General features: G+C 42.8%; 1 long non-coding RNA gene across 9 annotated transcripts in view; it reads right to left on the bottom strand.

Annotated features, from left to right (window-relative positions):
- LOC124905312 (uncharacterized) overlaps positions 1 to 2,135 on the bottom strand; it is a 35,497-nt gene extending 33,362 nt beyond the window's left edge. For 7 of the 9 annotated variants that reach the window (XR_007068502.1, XR_007068505.1, XR_007068498.1 and 4 more), the window contains exon 1: positions 1,926 to 2,108. This is a non-coding gene — a long non-coding RNA (uncharacterized LOC124905312). Of the gene's footprint in view, positions 1 to 1,925 lie in introns of all 9 variants that reach the window. The other 2 variants (XR_007068504.1, XR_007068501.1) reach the window with 2 other exon arrangements.
- Between the last annotated feature and the right edge of the window lie 20,459 nt (positions 2,136 to 22,594).

The raw sequence follows: 22,594 nt of genomic DNA, 5'->3' as shown, positions 1-22,594 counted from the left end.
TGGCTAAGGTGGGAGGATTATTTGAGCCCAGGAGGTTGAAGCTACAGTGAGCTGTGATATGCCACTACACTTCAGTCTGAGCAAGAAAGCATAACTTTGTCTCAACAAAAATGAACAATACCACAGGAAAGACAGAACCAGAAAAAAAAGAAGCAAACTTAAAATGGACAGAAAACTACAAATTTACAATAGTAACTCCTTACCTATCACTACCTTACAAATAAAAAGATTAAAGTATCTACTAAACAGATACTGCTGTACACTGAATGTCATCTCCAAAATTTAGGATAAAATTTAATAGCCAACATGTTAGAATTAAGAGGTGGAACCTTTAAAAATTAATTAAGCTCTAAGAACTCTGCCCTCATGAATGGATTAATGTTCTTATTATGGGAATGGGCTAATTTTAACAAGAATGGATCTGTTATATATTAAAAAAAAAAAGCTCTCTCTCCCTCACATCTTTGTCTATGTTATTATCCAGCAACTAGACCTTCAACATATACCAGTATCATGTTGTTTTGGCTTCCCAGCCTCCAGAATCATAAGTCAAATAAAATTCGATTCTTTATTAATTACCAGTGTGTGATATTCAGTTATAGCAGCCAAAAGAGACTAAAGCAGACAGAGTGGATAAATTAATCTTTTAAACCTCGTAATATGCTGCTTACAAGAGACTCAATTATGAATTAAGAGCATAGGCTAAAAGTGAAAGGATAGAAAATGATATTCCATGCAAACAATAACCAAAGGAGTGCAACGGTAATGCTTAAATTAGACAAAATAGACTTTCTAGCAATGTCTCTCACAAGCATGAAATGAGTTTACCATACAATAATAATAGAGGTTAATTTCTCAAGAGAATATAGCTTTATATATTTATGCACCCAAAAGGGAGGCTTCTAAATATAAAAAGCAAATATTGCCAGAACTGTAGGGAGAAGTAGAAAGAAACCAAATAATAGAAAACTTTAATGAAATGTATAATAAAGGACATATAGTTAACAGCATTGTAAATTGGCAAGGGAAAGCTGGTCTCATGTGTTGCATTTGAGAATGCAGCAAAGAAAGTGGGAACTGATAATTTTACTGCAAGCCTGAGTTAGGATGAAAAACAGGGTGGTCGATTAGAGGTTCCACTTGCCATACATTAAAAAAACACAGGAGAAAACCAGTCCTCCTCTGGAGTGTTAAAATAATTAAAGATCAGAAAATTAGTCTAAAGTGGCTCTAGTGCCCTGTGTTCATAGGTAAAAAGCAAAAAACAAACAAAAAAAAATCTAAAACCTAACTCAAATATATTTCCTATAAAACACTATCTTAGCCTGAAGCAAAATGCAGGTTTAACCCATGACAAACATGCAATTAACCTCTGAATATGTAACCAGGACATTTCCATCTGGATAGTTCAAATAAGGCTACCATATAACTGGAACCAATTCTTGAATTTGGGTTGCTTTCTCATGCATCTTATAAAAGCCTTTCCTTTATGCCCCTCTGGTGGACCAGAAATCATGGCTGGGTGCTTTCCATTTCACCAATCACTCTTTGTTCAGATAAACTGATGAACCTTTTAACATAGACTCCCGTTAATTTTTAACAAGAGAGACTGGGGACCCCACGGGCCGCAGCTCCTCCCACGCAAACACCCAGTCGCGGTTTTTCCCTGATGACCCACCAGGCCTCCCTGAACAATCTGGGAAATACTCATGGCTGTGGGCGCAGAGCAGGGCGCTGCCCAGGGACAGGACCGGATGGGCCGGACGGGACGTGGGGGCCCTCGCTGCTGGCCCAGCGGCCATCTTGCAGCCACAGGGGACTGAGGGCCAAGCTGCGGGAGACTCGGAGCTAACCGTGGGGAGGCCGGTCCTGCCGGTTTCACAGTCTGTTCTCCCCTCTCGGGATGGCGAACCCCGTATACTCACCATTTCCCAGCTTCCAGGATGTCCTGGCACCTTAACTATGCGTCCCCAAGGACCTACAGATCACAGGGCAACAGGGGCTGTGAGAGAGTAGCCCGGGGCTCCCAAGGTGCAGGAGGCGAAAGAGGAGACGGATCCCAAGCTCTTGTGCCAGCACCAGCGAGAGACACAGATCCCGCCAAATGCAGGAAGCCACGCCCTCCTTTCCTCTCCTCTGCCACCGCGCGCCTGATTGGGCGGTTCCCACATCAGTGTCAATGACTGGATAAAACTCCAGGACGCACCCACCCGAGCCTGACTCCTGCCCTTACCCCCACTCCCCCTCAGCCTTAGTGCATTTTTGTTAGTTTGTTTTTCTTTAAGTTCTGGAATACATGTGCAGAAAGTGCAGGTTTGTTACATAGTTTTACATGTGCCATGGTGGTTTGCTGCACCTATCAACCTGCCATCTAGGGTTTAAGCCCCACATGCATTAGGTATTTGTCCTAATTTTCTCCCTCCCCTTGACCTCAACCCCTTAACAGGCCCCAGTGTGTGATCTTTGGTTCCCGGTGTCCATGTGTTCTCATTTTTCAACTCCCACATATGAGTGAGAGCATATGGTGTTTGCTTTCCTGTTCCCGTGTTAGTTTGCTGAGGTTAATGGTTTCCAGCTTCATTCACGTCCCTGCAAAGGACATGAACTCATTCTTTTTATGGCTGCTTATTATTTCATGGTGTAGATGTGCCACATTTTCTTTTTCCAATCTATCAATGATGAGCATTAGGGTTGGTTCCAAGTCTTTGCTATTGCAAACAGTGCTGCAATACACATATGAGTACATGTGTCTTTATGCTAGAATGATTTATATTCCTTTGGGTATATACCCAGTAATGAGATTGCTGGATCAAATGGTATTTCTGGTTCTAGATCCTTGAGGAATCACCACACTGTCTTCCATAATGGTTGAACTAATTTACACTCCCTCCAGCAGTGTAAAAGTGTTTCTATTCCTCCACAGCCTCACCAGCATCTGTTGTTTCCTAACTTTTTAATAACTGCCATTCAACATGGTGTGAGATGGTATCCCATTGTGGTTTTGATTTGCATTTCTCTAGTCTCCAGTGATGATGAGCTTTTTTCTTTTTGTGTGTTTGTTGACCACATAAAGGTCCCCTTCTTCTTCTTCTTCTTCTTCTTCTTCTTCTTCTTCTTCTTCTTCTTCTTCTTCTTCTTCTTCTCCTTCTCCTTCCTCTTCTTTTTCTATTTATTTTATTTATTATTATTATTATTATTTTTAAGATGGAGTCATGCTCTGTCACCCAGGCTGGAGTGCAGTGGAAGGATCTCGGCTCACTGCAACATCTGCCACCCAGGTTCAAGTGATTCTCCTGCCTTAGTCTCCCCAGAAGGTGGGATTACAGGCCACCCGCCAACACATCCTACTAATTTTTTGTGTTTTTAGTAGAGATGCGGTGTCGCCATGTGGCCCAGGCTGGTCTTGAACACCTGACCTCATGATCCACCTGCCTCCACGGCTGAAAGTGCTGGGATTACAGGCTTGATCAACCGTGCCCAGCCAAATATCTTCTTTTGAAAAGAGTCTGTTCATATTCTGTGCCCACTTTTTGATGGTTTTTTTTTTGTGTGTGTGTGAATTTGTTTAAGTTCCTTGTAGATTCTGGATATTAGACCTCTGACACATGGATAGAGTGCAAAAATTTTCTTTCACTCTGTAGGTTGCCTGGTCACTCTGGTGATAGCTTCTTTTGCTGTGCAGAAGCTCGTTAGTTTAGTTAGATCTCATTTGTCAATTTTAGCTTTTGTTGAGATTGCTTTTTGTATTTTATTCATGAAGTCTTTGCTCATGCCTATGTCCTGAATGGTATTGCCTAGGTTTTCTTCTAGGGTTTTTATGGTTTGGTGTTTTACATTTAAGACTTTAATCCATCTTAAGATAATGTTTGTATAAGGTGTAAGGAAGGGGTACAGTTTCTGTTTTCTGAATGTGGCTAGCCAGTTCTTTCAGCACCATTTGGTAAGTAGGAAATCTTTCCCCATTGCTTGTTTTTGTCAGGTTTGTCGGAGATCAGATGGTTGTAGATGTGTGATGTTATTTCTGAGGCCTCTGTTCTGTTCCATTGGTCTATATATCTGTTTTGGTATCAGTACTGTGCTGTTTTGATTACTGTAGCCTTGTAGTATAGTTTGAAGTCTGGTAACAGGATGCCTCAAGCTTTGTTGCTTTTGCTTAGGATTGTTTTGGGTTGACCGGCAAACAGGCTCGTATATTTGGGTTCACATGCCCAGAGTATCACAGCTAATTAAGACGTGAGCTGAGACTTGAAATGCACATGCTCTTTCCCTTACCTGGGTCTGTTGTATAATGCATCTTAGCAGCTATGTAACAGTAGGAATTAGAATATTTAGACATGTTTTTAGCAACTTTTTAACCTGCATTTTGGTAACGCGGTAAAGACCTTCATCCCGTCCTTGAGCCCCTCTCTCACAACACTGCACCCCACTGCTGACCACACTGTGGAGTGGCCATTAGGAATCAGGGGGGCAGCGGGGGCTGGAAATAAATAAGAAAGGATTATGTTGCCCAAATTTGCTCACCTTAGAAAGTCTCCTCAACCATTCTGTGTGAGGTGATTTTTCCAAGGTAATTGTGCCCTGACTGCGCTGGATGTCAGTGTGTCTTGTCTTTTTGAAAATCACTGGATTACTCTCATGAACGGGGTATTTCTCTTTCTATTTGAAAACGGTCAACTGTCCTCTGCAGGTGTCCTGATTTGCTAGTTGAGACCCTGAAGGTAGCGGTGAGAAAATATTTGGGCCACATCAGAATACCTATTCTCAGCTGGAGGATATATAGAAATTTCTTAATAATATCTAACCATTTTCTCAATAACCATTATATTTAACATTGATAGCTTGGAGGGCAGGGAAGGACACAGATGACACAATCTTCAAAGTTTAATTTATTTATAAGGTTTTTTTTTTGTTCTTGTTCAGTTTTGCTTAGTTTTTGGATACAAGGTCTTGTTCTGGTGCCCAGGCTGGAGGGCAGTGGCATAATGATAACTCATAATTTGGTTGTAACGGTTCTTTAAAATATATTTTTGCTGAGAGTGCTAGCTCACACCTGTAATGTAAACACTTTAGGTGGCCAAGGTGGGATTATCGCTTGATCCCAGGAGTTCAAGATGAGTCTGAGCAACATAAGTAGGCTCAGTCTCTAGAAAAAAATTAAAAAATTGTCTGGGTGTAGCTTTGCATGCCTGTAGTCCCAGCTACTTGAGAGGCTGATTTGAAAGCATCACTGGAGCCTAAGAATTTGAAGATGCAGTGACCCATGATTCAGCCACTGCATTGACAGAGTGAGATATGTGTGTGTGTGTCTGTGTGTGTGTATAAAGAATTTGTATGTGAAAAAAATTCAAGCACAGAATAAAAGTGAAAGCCCATGGTGGGGGATGTGGAGAAGGGTCAGTGTGGCTCCAGCACCTCAGTGAGACTTGGTTTTCCATCTTGAAGAATTGCCCATCCACACTGAAACCATAGCCTAACATATGCCAGTTCTCACACTACACCTGCTGGGATACCAGTATGTAGCCTTTTGAAAAAAATAAAATCTTTCACCTAAGAGAAGGACAAGAGAAAACGAGGGTTTCACATCTAAAGCCTTCATTTTCTTTATGAATCAACAGCCAGTTGTCATTTGAATTGTCCAGAGGCGACTGACAGCACCAATACACTTAATGAATCAACCAGGAAAAATGGGCCTCTCAGGTGAGGAGGAGGCACAATCGTCACAAAACCCAATCCATTCTCAGCTTTGCATGGTGCTCGCATCTCAAGAAGTGGTGTTAGCCATGTGAACCGTGTTCACTGGACAAGGCCAGAGGAAAGAATATTTAGTACAACACAACTATGGGGCTGCAAATCAAACTGGTAGTGAGAGCATGCATGAGGCTTCAGTGGCCGAGACACTGGTGGCTACCCTTCGGTGTCACTTAAACCTTTGAGGTGAAGGACATCTTTTTTCCCAACTGGCTCAGAGAAACCAATCAACATTAAAATTGAGATTTGTTTTTCTTTTCAAAATTTCTAAGACATAGAGGACTCTCTAACACTCCAAAAGAGATTCAGCTATACATGCAGCTGAGGACCTGCCTGCTCTGTAGAGGGATGGCAGAGCAGCGGCCACCAGCTTTAGTAGCTTTAAGCTCCTCTTCTCATAGGGACAGGCCACCCCCACACAACCCCCCTAAATTCATAGGCTCTGGCTGTCAGGTGCACCTGGGGGACTGTCTTCCTCCCATCTCATTAGCTCTCGAAGACAGTTCAGCTCAATCTAAAACCTACCTTAGGATGGTGAGTTGTAGGCTCTCCTCCATTCTCCCAGCGCAGTGTGACTTCTGGAGAGTGCTTCTCCATCCTCTTACCTCAGATGATGTGAAAAGAGCTGGTTCCCGGGTAGTTAGATGTTCAGTGACATAACAGGCCCAGCATGCGCAGGGCCTGGCCCCACAGCCTGGCACGTCTCCCCTACCTGGCCTTCACGCTGGACTTTTCTCTTCTGCCACAAATATCAGGTGATGATCACCTCTGCCACACTCTCATGAGCTTGGTAAGTAGCAGGGGTGTAAACCCCAACAGATTTCCTGTGACTCTACCCTCTTACCACACACTCAAGTGACATTATAAGCATACTTTTACATTTGATCTTATTTATGCATAATTTTTTTATAACATTTCTGACAACAGCCCACACAACGAAATGAGTCTGGCTTACAGAACACACGGGCGAGGCTGGGGTAGCATGTTTCAATTACTTTATTCCAATGTGAAATGAAGACTGATGATTTAAAAACAAGACAAAGTTGTTTATCAGCTGTGGGGTGGCTACACTTGCTACCTCATGCTCACTTCCTTTGAAACAAGGTATCTGGACAGACCATATTCATAAGTAGCTCTTCGCAAAACCCCAGACAGAAGCCCCAGTCAGACACAGCTCCCTCAGGCTCACAGGGCAGCAACCTCCTCCTCCATGTTAGGCTCTGACAGCAGGCAAGGGAAGAAGCACAGGCAGCAGGGGACAGGGAGGGTCCGGGACTGTAGGGATCCCCAAATGCCCCAGAAGTATTCTCTGTAGAAAGGCACACGCAGGTCTCACTGTGTCAGTGCAGTGGCTGAATCATGGGTCACTGCAGCCTCAAACTCTTAGGCTCCAGTGATGCTTTCACCTCAGCCTCTCAAGTAGCTGTATGGCAAAAAGCCTCCCATTTTTTTACTTAAAACCTGGACTTTAAGCCAGTTTGGACCTGGGGATAGTGGCAGCAAAAGCAGCAGCCAAATGTATACACTCCAGATGTCTACACTCATGGGCACAGGCATATTCCACACTTGCTGGAGCACGAGAGGCCTGAGAGGCACCTGTTTCCCAGTTGCTAACTGATGTCCATACACCCCATTCACGTGTCTTCATTTAGGTTTCTGCATAGTGTATTTGCTTAGCCACTGTAAACACATCTTCTGGGGGGCATCATTAATTGCAGCACCTGCCCCACTTGTTCTGGGAGGGAGTCAGGAGGAATCTGGTCAGCTCCTAATCCCCCAGGACAAAGGTGCTTCCCCCTTTTCAGCACTCACATCCAGCAATGCCATCTCTGGATGGGTTTTTCAAACACAAGCAGTATGAGGTAGCAAGAATGGTGTGACAGGCTCAGGGCCATGGGCAGCCGGTTGCTGGAGAAGCAGCACAGGGCAGGCACATCTGTGGGTGGCACCATGACAAGCCAAGGCAGCCACAGACCCTAATCCCAACAGCTCCAGCCCAGATGGCATTCAAATCTTCCCAGATAGTATTGGGGTACCCTATGCCCATCACTTGCCTGCTCATTAGCACGGCCTTGTTGGTTACTCAGGGACTAAGGAGAGAGGGTGGGGGATGTAGATCCAGGGTGGGCACCGCCTCACAGCCAGAGTCCACCTGACTGTAGGCCAGCAAGCAAGCCCAAGCAGCTCAGCTCTAGTCACCTCTGGCTGTACTTTATGTGTATACATTACATAAAGGTAGCAAACAGAGGTCAACAATAGCTGTTGTGACATGAAAGTCTATGCCTCATTAAGACCTTAAAATGCTGTTGTCTTAAGCTCTCTTTATTCTAATAAAATTTATACAAATAAACACATGCAAGCTGAAACTACTATAAATGAAATATTAGGATTTTTTAAACCCATAAACAGACACAAAGACAGTCACTGTTTGATTGCAGAGAAAGTGAGATTCTAAAGCAGCTGACCACAAAACAGCCTCACCAAACCCCAGGCAGGCCAGGCAGTCTGAACACTACAAGGCCACGTGATGGTCACAGAGGATGACAGCTCCCGTGAGTATTGCAAGGCACTGTGTTAGCTTCTCACTCACAGTCTCAGAATACCCTGTGAGGGGAGGCCCCATCTCACCAGAGCACAGGAGGTTCCTGAGCTCTTCCCAGAAAATGGTCATCAAACGATGGAGCAGAGGGAAGCCCAGACAGAACAAGTGAGTCCCTAGGGTCTCCTTAACCTCCCTCAGCTCCTCCACATGGGTCCCTGAGGGAAAGTGAGCAGCCTCCTAACCCCCTTGATAGGGTTCCAGTCCTGCAGGTCGGACTCTCTCATTTTATGCTACCATAGGGGGTGACAATGCAACCCCAGGCCCCTTATTTGCCATCCCTCAATGCCAGGCCAGGCCCAGAGCCCTTTGCTAACACAGCCCAGGAGATGCTCAAGGCCCACCTCGGCACAGTCACCTGTAGTGTACTGAGATGAGCAAGGAGGTGCAAGTAGACACAAATCCCCATGGGCTTGGCCTCAGCCATGTTCCACAGGCTCAGGGCCTCCCTGATGAGCTCACAGCCCTCCTTCAGGAAGCCTGCAGATCACACCCTCAGGGAGCAGTGCTCAGATGAGCAGGCAGGCCCCACATCCCCCACCCCATGACGCTCTGTTCCACTTTGCAGGCTTCTGCATTGGCCAGTCCCCACTGCTTTCTGGTGAGATGTCTGAGTTGAAGTGAATGTTGAAGGCCACAGAGCTGATGGAGCTCACTGCCTTGCACATGTTGTAAATCACCTCCTGGCTTCAAGGGTCAGCTGTGGAGACACAGCTTGATGGGAGGTAGGCCCACTCCACCGTCAGTAGTGCTGGGTTGCCCTGATCTGCACCTTCCAGGTCCTTCCTGAGATGTCTGCATGCTTCTCTAAGGGACTGTATCAAGAGGCACCCCTGGCAAGAGTCAGCTGGCAGAACAGGCTGGACACTCTCCCTCAGCCTCCCCAGCAGCCCCGCCTGTGCTGTCATCTGTGCTGATGATCTCCGTGGTATGATTATGGGAAATTTTTTAAAGCATCTTTTCCCCGTTCATTTCCCTATCTTAATAACAGCACTGATAACTTTTAAGCCCTAGCAAGCTGAAACTGCAAGACACATGATCTTCTGCCTTAGAAGGGCCATGTTTGGGCAGTGTGTGCCCAGGTGAGAGCCCCATGGTTGTTAGTGGAAGCGGGGAGCTGGATGGGCCCGGCCCCATAACCTAGTGAAAAGTGGGACCCTCTCCTTCCAGAGCATGGAAGTCTCAGAGGCTGGAAAAAGGTGCCTGAGTGGCCTGCCAAGAAGCAGAAGGCTAGAAGGCCTGGAAAGAACCCCAACAGCCTTCAAGCTGCCTGAGAGGGCTGGGCTCATTCCAGCTTTCTTTGCTTTCATCCTGTTAGCAAGAAAACCTGCTCACAGATGGCAGGCGGGCCTGAGGCTGCCATTCCCTCATCAGGGGCTATAGGCACCTTTAATGTGGCTCTTTCTTGAAGCAGCTGCTCAGGCCGGTTCTCGAAGAGCAGTTCCCTCATTATCCACAGGTCCTTCTTCCAGCCCCGTGCCTGCAGAGGGACTAGGGAGGGAGAAAATCTCTCAGCCTGTGCCCCACAACCTGCTTTGAGACATCTCTTTTGTTACTTCCTCACAGACAGCCTGAAACTTCCAAATGAACAGACCAGAATGGAGCCTCCAGGAAAGTGTACAGAATTCTGTCTAGTACCCAGAAGGAAGGGGGTTCCCAGTGAAGGCAGGGCCAGGCTGCATGCACCTCTTCAAAAATATTCTCCTCATAGTCCACCCTCAAGGTGTACATCCTCTGTGTGCTTGCAGTCCATGGCAGCCTCTGCCTTGGGAACCGTCCAGCTGCACACCTGCAATATGGTGGTGACCCTCTTGAATGGATGGTTCTGGGCCCCATTGCAGGCAGCAGATAGGGAGATGCTCAGCCCATCAAGCCCAGAGCCCTGCCACAGGCTTCTTTGAGGCCTCCACCTGCTCTGGGTTCTTGCCCTGAGAGGCTGCCCTGAAGTCAAACAGAAGCAGGTGGGACTCTCTTCCACAGCTGCTCTCTCTCCCACTGACAGCTCCCTAGAGGGTAACTCAGACAGAGAAGATAGAATTCTCAGGCAGAAGGACAGGAGTTTCGGCTGCCGATTCATTCCATACCCCCACATGACATGACACAAGGCAGGGGCTGTGGGACAAAGTCATTGCCTTTCCTTCTGGCATGAGGAATGCCTTAGGAAGCAGGTCTGGTGGGGCTAGGGTTGAGCGATAGGCTTCAGACCACAAGGAGTGGATGGACACTGAGCAAGTATCCTGGTTATCTGTCCACAGATCCAGAACAAGTGGCATCCCAGGAGCCTGGGAGGGGCTGGCAGAGACTTACTGTGTCCAGCAAAAGCCCCATGTGGATGCGGTAATGCTGCCTGCTGGTCCTTGGCTGTAATTACAAACAGGTACATGAGGTCCCCATGGATCTTGCAGCTCTCAGGGAGTGGGTTCCAGCTGCTCATGGTAGGCACTTTTAGTCACTGAACGTGCTTCAGGAATGGCCAAGCTTGATTAAGCCAGGCGTCTTGCTGTGAGACCCTCCACCCAACTGAGGACCCTCTTCCTTGTCCCCCCTGACAGTTTACCTTCCAGTTCTGGTTCTGGAGACACGATGGCCCTTCTTGGGCCCCTGGGAGAATGTGCTCAGATGACACACAGTCGACAGGACCCATTTCCAAGCCATTCTTCCATTTCCCACTGTTTGAGGGGCCGAGGCCGGTGATCAGCACAGGGCCACCCAGGGCCAGCTGTCTGCACCTAAACGTCATGTTGGTCTGGATGTCTCAGGGCCAGAACTCTCCAGGTAAGATGGCCTGGTCCTCAGCACCTGGCCTCCATGCTCCTTTTTCCTCTGTTCAATCCTGGCCCCAATGCCTCCCGCAACTCTCAGGTCACCATTGGAGAAGATGCTCAGGAAGAACAAGGAGCTGCAGTCAACCCTGCTGAAGGTGGCATATGGGTCCAGGCTCTTGAGCTGGTCTTTGACATGGTACATGTGGATGCAGGCTTTGAGCAGTGTGAGTAGCTCTTTCCGGAAGGAGGGGAAAACGGTGTTACCAGGGTCCTACACCCTAGAACGACCCATCTAGCACAGAAAACAGTTTGCAACGTGCTATTATGTGTGATTTTAATTTTGGGCTTTAGGCTTTCATTTCCAAATTCCACAATAAACACATAAGGTGGAGTTCTGATTTCAACACACACACACACACACACACACAAGCACACACACACATTCTCTCTCTCTCCCTCTCTCTTAGAATCTTCCAGTGCATTCACACTGAAAGCCGAAGTCCTCCCAGAATCTTGTGAGAACCTAAATGATCTGAATAGTTTGTCATTGCTTTTGGGGATCTGGGAAAATCTCTGCACATTTCTGGACACCGCTGTTATGCCATTTTTAATAAATCTGTTGTGCTTCAATTCAGAAGTGTGTGAGGGGAGTTGTGGAGGAATTGGCATTTGGGTTAGAAATTCCAGGAACAACAGAGACAGATGACACCTGTTTTCTGCTTCATAATGTCAAGTTTTATGAAGGCTAAAACCTAATTCTACAAAAAAATTAGACTGAAAAACTTTATAGGCAAAAATTATCTTATTAAATAGGAAAATCTAATTATTTTATTTTAAAATTTTCTTTTCTTTAGTAGGACCTAATCATAGAAATTTAAACACTGTATGCCAACAGCCTCTACTGTAGGATGGTTTATTGTAAGTACTCATTTTACAGATTTCTTACAAAAACTTTTTCCGTAAGGGAAATTAGAATATTGTTCAACATATATTGAATTCACAATTATTACCTTATTTCTCACTTATTATTTTATGATTCTGTTTTCTTTAATATGAAGATTACTATGACTGTGTTTTCACTTTCTGAATGATCATGTGTCACATTTTTCTGTAATTTCAGTTTGAGAAGTTGTAAAACAGCATGCTCAAATGTATATGTTATGTATCAATTATATAATTAATTATTAAAATATTTGGCTTGTATGTTTAATTGACTCTAGGCACAATATTACTATTAGCATTTTCTTCCAGTTTTCCCAACTTTTATTTGACTAATAGTACAATTTATTTCCAGTTTTTATTTTATCTGTCAATGTTTTATACTGTATTTACAATATTTATATTGTTACCATATGTAAAAATGTAAGACCTTTCTATTAAAGGCTAGATTACAGCCTTACCCTTTTGTGTAAGGAAAGAAGCAATGCATCAGTAGCATAATTTAAAACTTTCTCTAGTATTACTTAAATTTTTATTCCTTAAAACTTTCTCATCACATCTCTTTTTAATAATTATAATATGGTTTCTTTGAAATGTTGTTGCCCTAATTGTATCCAAATAATTCAAAATTTATACTTTTTATGGATTCAAAGGAAGAGTTGAAAATTGTAGTTACCTAGGATTCTTTTTCAGTTGGACACTATGTTTATTCAGGATTTTATAGATCAAAGTTTCTCTTAATTATGTTTTAGAATTTATGTTTCTGTATTTTTTAGAGTAGGCTGTCTCACAGCAGTTAATTGTGTTTTTACTTTCTACCTATTTATTATGATTTTGAATTACATTATTCAAGTAAGAATTCGGGGAAGGTTTCTTTTAAGTTTGTTTTGCAATTTTGCATTTCTGTGTTTCGTGTTTTAGGGTAGGGCACCTTACATCAGTTTATTGTTTTTAGTTTGAATTTATATAATATAATTTTCTATGACAATATTCAAATCTGTACAGCTTAAGACAGTGTGAGGCAAAAAATATGAACCATCCCTATGGTCTTTTGTTAATATAATGATTTAATTGTTTGTTTGCTTGTATAAATATTGCCCCTATTTTGTTTATGACTTGTGTTATTTTCTTCTTGTTTGATGGACAATAATTGATTCTGTCTAAGTGAGTAATCATGGAAATTGTCTTAATTTCAACATCTATTGTTTATATTATCCTAGTGTGAAAGAAAGACTTATGCGATTTGAAGATAATTTTTCAAAAACTTTGTAACTCTCTCTCTTCAGGTGTCTTTACTTATTTATTTATTTTTTGACAGACTCTCACCCTGTCGCCAAAGTGCAGTGGCACAATCTTGGCTCACTGCAACCTCCACCTCCCAGGTTAAAGCAATTCTCCAGCTGCTGCCTCTTGAGTAGCTGGCATTAAAAGTGTGCACTACCACGCCTGGTTAATTTTTGTGTTTTTCATAGAGCTGGGGTTTCACCATGTTGGCCAGGCTGGTCTTGAACTCATGGCCTCAAGTAATCTGCATGCCTCAGCCTCCCAGAGTGCTGAGATTACAGGCATGAGCCATCTCTCTTGGCCCTTGGGTGTCATTTTTAATTTCGATTGTGGTAAAAATACATAACATAAAATTTAGAATCTTTAATATTTTTTCTTATACAGTTCAGTCATGTTAATGTATTTACATTGCTTTGCAACATATTTGTAAAACTTTTTTCTTTTGCAAAACTGAAACTCAGGACACATGAAATGACAACTACCCATTTTCCTTACAACCTGGCTCCTGATAAAAATCATTCTATTTTCTGTTTCTAAGTTTCAATACTTTAGATATTACATATAAGTAGAATCATAGAGTATCTGTTTTATTGTGACTAATTTTACTTAGCATCATGTTCTCAAGATTTCTCTTTATTGTGGATGGTACAAGATTTTCTGCCTTTAAAAGCTGAGTAATATTCCATTACTTTTGTATTACAAATTATATTTATTTATTCATTCTATGAGGAAAGTTTGTGTTGCTTTCACCTATTGGCCTTTGTGAATAATGCTGCAATGAATATTGGTATGCAAATAGCTATTTGCTCATATGTGTGAGGTTTACATGTGTGCTACCTTCTGTTTTATTGGAAAAATTGTCTGTCTTTATGCTAGAAACAAACTGTTTTCATTGCTGTTGCTTTGTAATGTGCTTTGAAATCAGAAAAGTTGAGGCCGCTAACATTGTTTTTTTTTAAAACATTTTTGGGCTCTTTATGGTCGCTTGACATTCCATATAATTTGTTGGTTCCTTCTTCTATTTCAAAAACATTGCTAATTTAAAAGGGATTGCATTGAATCTGTAACTCGCTTTAGGCATCATGAGCATTCTTCATAATATCAAGTCTTACAACCCTTAAACATGAGCATGCTCAAAAGTGAGTTGTTTAATTTCCATATATATGTTGCTATTTTTGTTTTCATCTGTTATTCATTTCTAGTTTTATTCCATTTTGATCAGAAATAATAGTCACTGAAAGGCTAAACCACTCTGGGAAGTGACCCCCATTATAGAACATTACAAAGAGATGTGAGGGCACCACTTCTGCCCTGATGGGCTAGAGGGATGTGTTCTCTGAGATGACACGTTGCAGACAAATGCAGGGAACAATATAACCCCCTTTTCATGTAAACTCTTCCCTATTTTTCTAGAGTATTAGTGATAGTGGTGGCTTTGAAGTCTTGGGGAAGGTCTGGCAGTGCCATGAAGCTGCCTGCTACAGGTGATACCAGGGGGGAAAAATTAAAACCATACAAACTGTAGTAACATGAATAAATACAGCCTAGTGTAAAGTAAAAACAACACAAAGGCCTTCTCTGATATTTCTACAAGAATGTAAAAAGGGACTTTACACTTAACCAAGCTGCCTTTGGGACTAGTTAAGGCTAGATTTTTGGGAGGCAGATCTTTGGGTCACTCATGGAAATCCCCTAAGAGAGAGCCCAGAGAAATTCCATATTTGGGTCTGGATCCTGGGCCCATCCTGGTTTTGTCAGATCCCTGTCTGTAGAGACCCCCATGTGCCTGCTCTCACCGTAACTCACTGTATGCCATGCTTGGGGGTGTGGTGAACCTGCCAGTTGTCCAAGGAGATGGGGGACTTGAACCCATCAAATATCTGCTCAATGATTTCAATGAAACTCTACAAAGAGTGTTCCCAGCAGCGAAGCAGAAAAAAAAAAAGAAAAAAGAAAAAAAATTAATTATCTCCTTTGTTTTTACCACCAGGTGACATCTCCATTAGAAATTCTGTTTCCTAGATCAGGAACATAGGAGTATCTGCATAGACCCCCAGCCAATGAGGAAACCCGAGGACAGCTTAAGGCCTTGGGATTCACATCTGAGTAGACACACTTGGTCCACAATGCTCAACTTTTTATTCCACCAGCCATGACCTGGGTACGAACATGACATACCTGCCAGGGTTCCAATGCCTTACAACCTGCCCCTGTGAGAAAGAGCCCCCTCCTTTCCTGCTCCCCCTGCAACACATGATAATGGTAGGCAGGGTCGGGTTGCCCAGATTAGATGAGACGGTTGGCCTGGCATGGACGGACCTGACCTGGGCTTCACTGTGTTACCTGTGTTTGCCTCTTGTCGAATGGCCAGTGGTATCAAGGATGTGGGCTGATCCAATATGTATATTGCCAGAAAAAGCTCTCACTTTGAGCCTTTCTCAGGCAACAGATTAGGAATATAGCACACAATGAGAACACAGTGATCTCTCAAGCATCTCCCATGAAATTAGCTAGATACAGGGCTGTCTCTAGAATGTGGGTGTCTGGTTCCCAAAGTTCTAAATTCTGTTAGGTTCTGTCACAAGGGAAGTCTGTTAACTTCTTCAAGGTTTTATCCCCTGAGCACTTTTCCTCCATAAATCTATGCGAAGGCCCTGCTGGGCTGCTGATTGCTCACCCTAATCTCCCATGTCAACTCTTTTCCTGTAAACAGTTATGCAAACACAATTATGCCCCTTACTCCCCAAAAAGATCTAAATACAGCCAGGGCCCCAGGTTTGAGAGAACAGAGTTGGGTTAAAATCTTCTTTTCCTTTTCATTTCTGTGACCATATGAAAATGACTGTGTGCTTCCGGTCTCCCCAGCCCTGAAGTATGCATAATGGGATTATGCTAACATCAACTTCCAAAAACAGTCTTTGGTGATATATGAGATAGAATGAATCAAAATCAGTTGGATGCAGTGGCTCTTGCCTGTAATCTTAGCAGATTGGTAGACCAAGGCGACGGGTGGAACACTTAAGGCCAGGGGTTTGAAACCAGCCATGGCCAGCATGGCAAAAACCCTTCTCTACTAAAAATCCAAAAATTAGCCAGGTGTGTTGATGCATGCCTGTAATCCCAGCCACTCAGGAGGCTGAGGTGTAAGAATCACTTGAGCCCAGGAAGCAGAAATTACATTAAGCCATGATCGTGCCTCTGCACTCCAGCCTGGGTGACAGAGCGAGACTGTGTCTCAAAAAAATATATATACTATATATATATATATATATATATATATATATATATATATATATAATATATGTATATATATATAATATATTTATATATTATATATAATATATAAACTTATACATATACACCTTTATGTATAAAAGATACATATTTCATATATCTGTATACATAAAAGATATATATTTTATATATATGGCCTTATTTTTCCATTCTACAGCAGAAGAGGTTGAAATCAAAAGAAAATCAGATACTGTCTTCTGGCATTAAATATTCCAGTGCTGTGCATTATATTTGGAATCACATGTATATGCCTCATCTCAGCCTATGTGGTGGGCACCCCCAACAAAGTCTCACAACAACACTAAGTTGTGAGTGACTCTGTTATTTAAAAACGCAGCTCACCGCTCAGTGCCTCAGAAGCCGATACTATAACACCGGGTTTCCAACAAAGACATTGGATTCCAGCTGAAGCCTCTTTCCCTGTGCTTACTTAAAGGTAGTAATATTCTCAGAAAGGTTTAGGAGGTGGCTTCTTGTTTAGCAGGGAATTGCTGAAAGGAAAAATGTATGGAAAGTCACTGGGCATGAACAGCCATCTTTTCTTGCTACACACAGGTCATGTGCAAATTTGGGGACAGTTAGTACAAAACATGTGATGGAAATTTGGGCTCTTACATCAGTGAGCTTATTTCACACAGACTCTAGTTGACCATATTGGTTCCGACCAATTTTAGCCACTTTTTAGAAGTCTCATAAGTGGAATAAATTTCAGTCTTTCGACAAGTTCTATCTTTTCTTATCCGTCATTCTGCAAACTGAAGAATTTCTGCTAGTCATTGGTTGAACTCTTTGGGGACCTGTTTCTAGTTTCTGTCAAAGAGAATACAACAAATGTGATAGGTTATCACTTCTGACTTAGTTCAGACTTCTATACCAAAAAACATAGACTAGGCAACTTATAAACAAAAGAATTTAGTTCTGGAGGCTAGAAATTTGAGATAGGCTTCCAGCATGGTTGGGGTCTGGTAAGGACTCTCTTGTGAGTTTCAAACTCCAGACTTCAGGTTGTATTCTCATTTAGCAGAGAGAGGGAGAGACAGCCTTCTGCAGTTTCTTTTACAAAGCCGGTAATCGCTATCATGAGGTCCTCATGCTTTGGACTTAATTACCTCTGACCTGCTAAGGCCATTACACTGGGGATTAATGTTCTGGAATGTGAATATGGTGGGGAATCACATAGTCTACTGCAACTTCCAAAGTTATATTTCTAAAACAGCTATTATTTTCCTCCCACTTGCTCTGTCCTGTGCGTCCTCTCTCAATCTCTCTGTCTCCCTTTCTCTTTTTCTGTGCATACGTCTGTCTATCTCTTTCATTTTCCATCTCTGTATTGTAATCCTCAAGATGAGGAAGCGATCTCCAGTGTCCTAAGATGCTCTAGGCACAGACCCACATGATAGAGAACTGAAGAACTGCCCAGGCCAATCAAAAGAAAGAAACTGGGGTTCTCAGTTCACACTGAATCTTGCCAATTTCCATGAGGCAGATTGGAGGCTGATCTCTCCCCAAATCCAGCTTCAGTTGAAATCACAGTCCCAGCCTCATAGGGGACCTTGAGGCAGAGGCACCCAACTAAGCTATATCGAGATTCTGGTTCACAAAAGTTGTGAGATAGTATTTGTTGTCAAAATGTGCTAAAATTCAGAGCAATGTTGTCACAGACGGGCAAATGACTAACCTCCTCTTTCAGGCCCCAGGATACACCCTCCCCTCTGTTCCTTTCTTTCTCAGGCTGCCTGCAGCCACACTTGTCCCGTTATAACCTCCTCTGCTAAACTGACTTGTGCCTCTGAGTCTTTTCACAAAGAGTGGCTTTTCCCTGACACACTTTCCACACCTGCGCAGTTGTCATTCTCATCACAACATAATGCCAGCTCAGTGAGGTATTCATGTCCCCTCCAGGCAACCTCTCTCCAGCCCTCCCTCCCAACATTCTACTTTATTTCCATTATAAAATGCTCTTTTCTTTCGCATGTACTTGCTTTAGTGTTTTTGTCCTGCAGTCCTCAGACTGTAGGCTCCCCGCGGGGATGCAGGGATAACATAATCGTTTTTGGTACCACATGGTGAACCTACCAAGGTAGCTGCCACAGGGTGAGTGCTAGGGGAAGAGCCGCTGAGTAAAATAACATGGAAAATCACAAAGTCTTTCCTGCTTTCGGTCACCCAATAATGTGGAGATCAAGAATGATAACAGGAGCTGCAGGCCCTCAGCCTGTCTCTCCCCCGGCTCCAGCTACTCCAGTAAAGTCCAGCGGGCACAAGAAACACGGGGTCTGCCGCCACCTAGAGGCCTCCGCTAGCACTGAAGTCCCAGGCAGAAGCATCACAAAACAGGTACCTGCACTGGGGAATTCTCAAGGCAGTGGCTCTTCAGGGACCCCTGGGAAAAGGAGCAGTATCTGAAGGCTCCAAGGGCCATAAAAGTGACCTCGGAAGCCTCCCTTGATTCCTATTTTCCTCAGCCTCGTTGGGTGTGCTGTGCACTCATTAAACATTTTAACAGCATTCGGCGACATTATTTTCTTCCACTTCCGAATGAGGACCTCAAGGACAGCCCAAAAAACTAGTATTTTTTTCTGGGCCCCACACTCCAGAGCCCAGTGCATTGTCACATTGTGCTTTATTCCAAGTCCTCATCCGCCCAAGTCTCTAGGCCTCTCTCTTCTCTGAAGGACCTCTAGAAACTGAAAAGCCTCTTCCCAGAGTCTCAAAGCACAGTGATTTACCAATGAAAAGCCAAGGGCGGCAGACACCTATGAGTATCTAGAATCCTTGGTATTATTCCTTCTCAGTACCCCTATTTATGAGGGAGAAAACAAAGGCTTTCTTTCCCGTAGCCTGTCTTTATATCACACGGGGTGGTGGGTGGAGGGCATAGCTCATTTTAGTTCCAGGTGCCCACAGAAGTGGGAGTCACAACCCCAGTCCTGTCCTCTTGAAACAGCTGGGAAAGTCCCCAGGCTTGGAAGAACCCAGGGAACCTGGAGGATCCTTCATCGCATGCTGTCAGCTCCTGGTCATGTAGCTGGGGGAGTGGATGCCTCTGCCTCATGGCAAAGCTGCATCTACTGTTTCTTCCCCTTTTGTCACTTCTTTGGTTTCCTCTTCCCTAACCTCACTTTAGAATCTCCACTTTAGATCTCCACTTTAGAAGCCTGTGTGTGTGTGATGTGTTTGTGTGTGCATGCCTGCACGCCTATGTGACAACATTGAAGAGTAGAAAGCCCAGGTAGAAAGTAGAGCACAGGGTTTTCCAGGACTCATGGGCTCTCATTTCCAAAGCAAACCTGATGGGTGGGGTGCATGCAAGGCCTAGGAAGCTGGATCCCTCCCTAATACTCTGTGCTCTGCCCAATTTCTGGGATCTGGACCAGTCTTTGCCTTTTTGGGAGGTCTCAGTCTTCCTGTTGTAAAATGAAGAGTTGGCTACAAAACTGTATGAGCACATGCTCAGTGAAGACAGGGTGTCATGCTCAATACCACAGAGAATATTGGGATGGGGAAAGTTTGGGCAGACTTAGGTGTCCATGCGTGCTCAGGCCTCTGAACAGGGCCAGTGCAGGCAAACATAAAGCACGGCACAGCCAGGTTTTCTTTCCAGGGCTACAGGATGAAACAGTGCACCACAGGATCTGCTCTTGAGGTCGGTCCCGCAAGATTTTCCCACCTTCAACCAGCAACTGTTTGATGAATTTCATGTCCTGTGAAGCCCATATCCACCCCCATTACAGTGAGGGGCACAGGGCACTAGACCTGTAAAATAATGTCTTTTGCCTTTTTTTCTTTTCTTTTCTTTTTCTTTTTTTTTTTTAATGAGTGGATGTTTCTTCTTTCTCCTTTTCTGTTTTGTTTGTTTTTTAACTAATTTTTAAGAGGTCTTTACAGGTCAGCTCTGGTGCCTCGCACCTGTAATTTCAACACTTTGGGAGGATGAGGCAGGTGGATTATTTGAGGTCAGGAGTTCAAAACCAGCCTGGCGAACCTGGTGAAAATCCGTCTCTACTAAACTTACAAAAAAATTAGCGGGGAATGGTGGCCCAAGCCTGTAGCCCCAGCTACTCAGGAGGCTGAGACAGAAGAATTGCTGAAACTTGGGAGGCGGAGGTTGCAGTGAGCCGAGATTGCACGACTGCACTCCAGACTGGGTGACAGAGTGAGTCTCTGTAAAAAAAAAAAAAAAAGAGAGAGAGAGAGAGAGGGAGAGAGAGAGTGCTCTTCATGGAAACATGAGCCCCTTTGTAATTTCATGTGTTGAAAATATTTATTCCAATTTTGCAATTTCTTTTCTTATTGTGGTGTTCTCTTTAAGTTTGGTTTAGATGTTATTAGTGTTTCTCCCCAAATTGATTTATTGATTTCCATTTTCACAATACAATATTTTGGCAGAAATCTTGTGGAAACTGTCTAATCAGTTTAAAATTTTAAATACATATTAAAAAATCAAAGAACTGTAAAAACTGTCCTGAAGAATGACAAAGTTTGTGAGCTTACAATGCCATATATTCAGACTTAGATTAAAGCTATAGTAATAAAAGCTATCTATGGTAGTAATGAAAAAATAGGCACAAAGAAAACTAGAAAAACTCGAGAGTCCAACTCAGACTCACACATTTAGACATTTTGTATATTACAAAACAGGCACAGAAGAGCAGTGGAGAGAAGACAGCATCTCGGTAATTAGCCTTGGGTCATCTGGTTATTTATGTGAGAAAGAAATGAACCTATCTTATATTGTTAACAAATTTCGAGACAAGTGGATTTTAAATTTTAAGGTGAAAATTGAAAACAATATTTCTAGTAGATAACATAGATAAGTATGTCCATGACTTTGGCACAGGCCAAGATTTCTTGGGACACAAAATGCATAAATTATCAAGACAAAAATATGACAAATTGGACTTTATTAGAATTAAAACCTTCTCTTCATAAAAAAAAAAAGCTTCAGGAGAGCTGAAAGGCAAGAACAAAGTGGAAATCAACATTTGTCATATATTGATCTGGCAAAAGCTTTTTATCTAGATTATTAAGCTAAATCCCATCACTTAATAAACAAAGATGCATACATTGAACAAAATTGGCAAAGATATGACTAGGAGTTCCACATACAGAACCGAAGGGCCAACAAGTAGATGAACATATCCACATTCTTATGCATCAGAACAATGCATATGAAAACTACAATTGAATACCACTATGCAATCATTAACATTTTTGAAAACTGACAAAATTAAGTACTAGTGATGATGTCAAGCAACTGGAACTTTCTTATACCATTCTGTGTGCAAACTGTTATAACCACATTCAAAACCACTTGAGTAGTAACTCCTTACATACACGATGTACATAAGCACACTCTAGAACCCAGCAACTCTGCTACTAGGTATATACACCCAATAGAATTGCCAGCATATTTTCCAATGTAGTAAAGTGCTCGAAGTAGCATTATTTGGTACTTTTCCAAACTGAAAAAAACTCAAATGTGCATCAATAATAAAATAACTAAATAAAACAGCTACATATTCCTTTATAAGGGGACATTATACAGATATAAAATTAATTGGAGACATATTAAAATATACAAAAATCTAACAAATACAATTTAATTAGATTTAAAAGTCCTATCCACAGCAATCGGCCAATAGAAAAGAAAAAGGCATACAAATAGAAAAAGAAATTGAATTCTCTTTCTCCATTTGCAATATGAGTCACTACGTAGAGAATGCTAAAGCCTCTCCAAAACTACTTTTGGGGAAAACTTGAAAAGCCTCCTGAAACGGATAAGCAAGTAAAGTTTTAGGACACAAAACCAATGTACAAAAATCAGTAGCATTTCTATGCATCAACTACTTTGAATTCCTGAACATCTTCTGGTTTTATTGCATTTTCAATTTTTTCCCTCCATTAACTATACATTTTTTCTTTTCTCAGCTAAACTAATTTATTCTTCTGTATAATTTCACCT

The sequence above is a fragment of the Homo sapiens genome, unplaced genomic scaffold, assembly GCF_000001405.40.
Source record: "Homo sapiens unplaced genomic scaffold, GRCh38.p14 Primary Assembly HSCHRUN_RANDOM_CTG1".
NCBI lineage: Eukaryota > Metazoa > Chordata > Mammalia > Primates > Hominidae > Homo > Homo sapiens.
The sequence above is the reverse complement of the archived record's forward strand: the minus strand, read 5'-3'. Positions and strand labels throughout refer to the sequence as shown.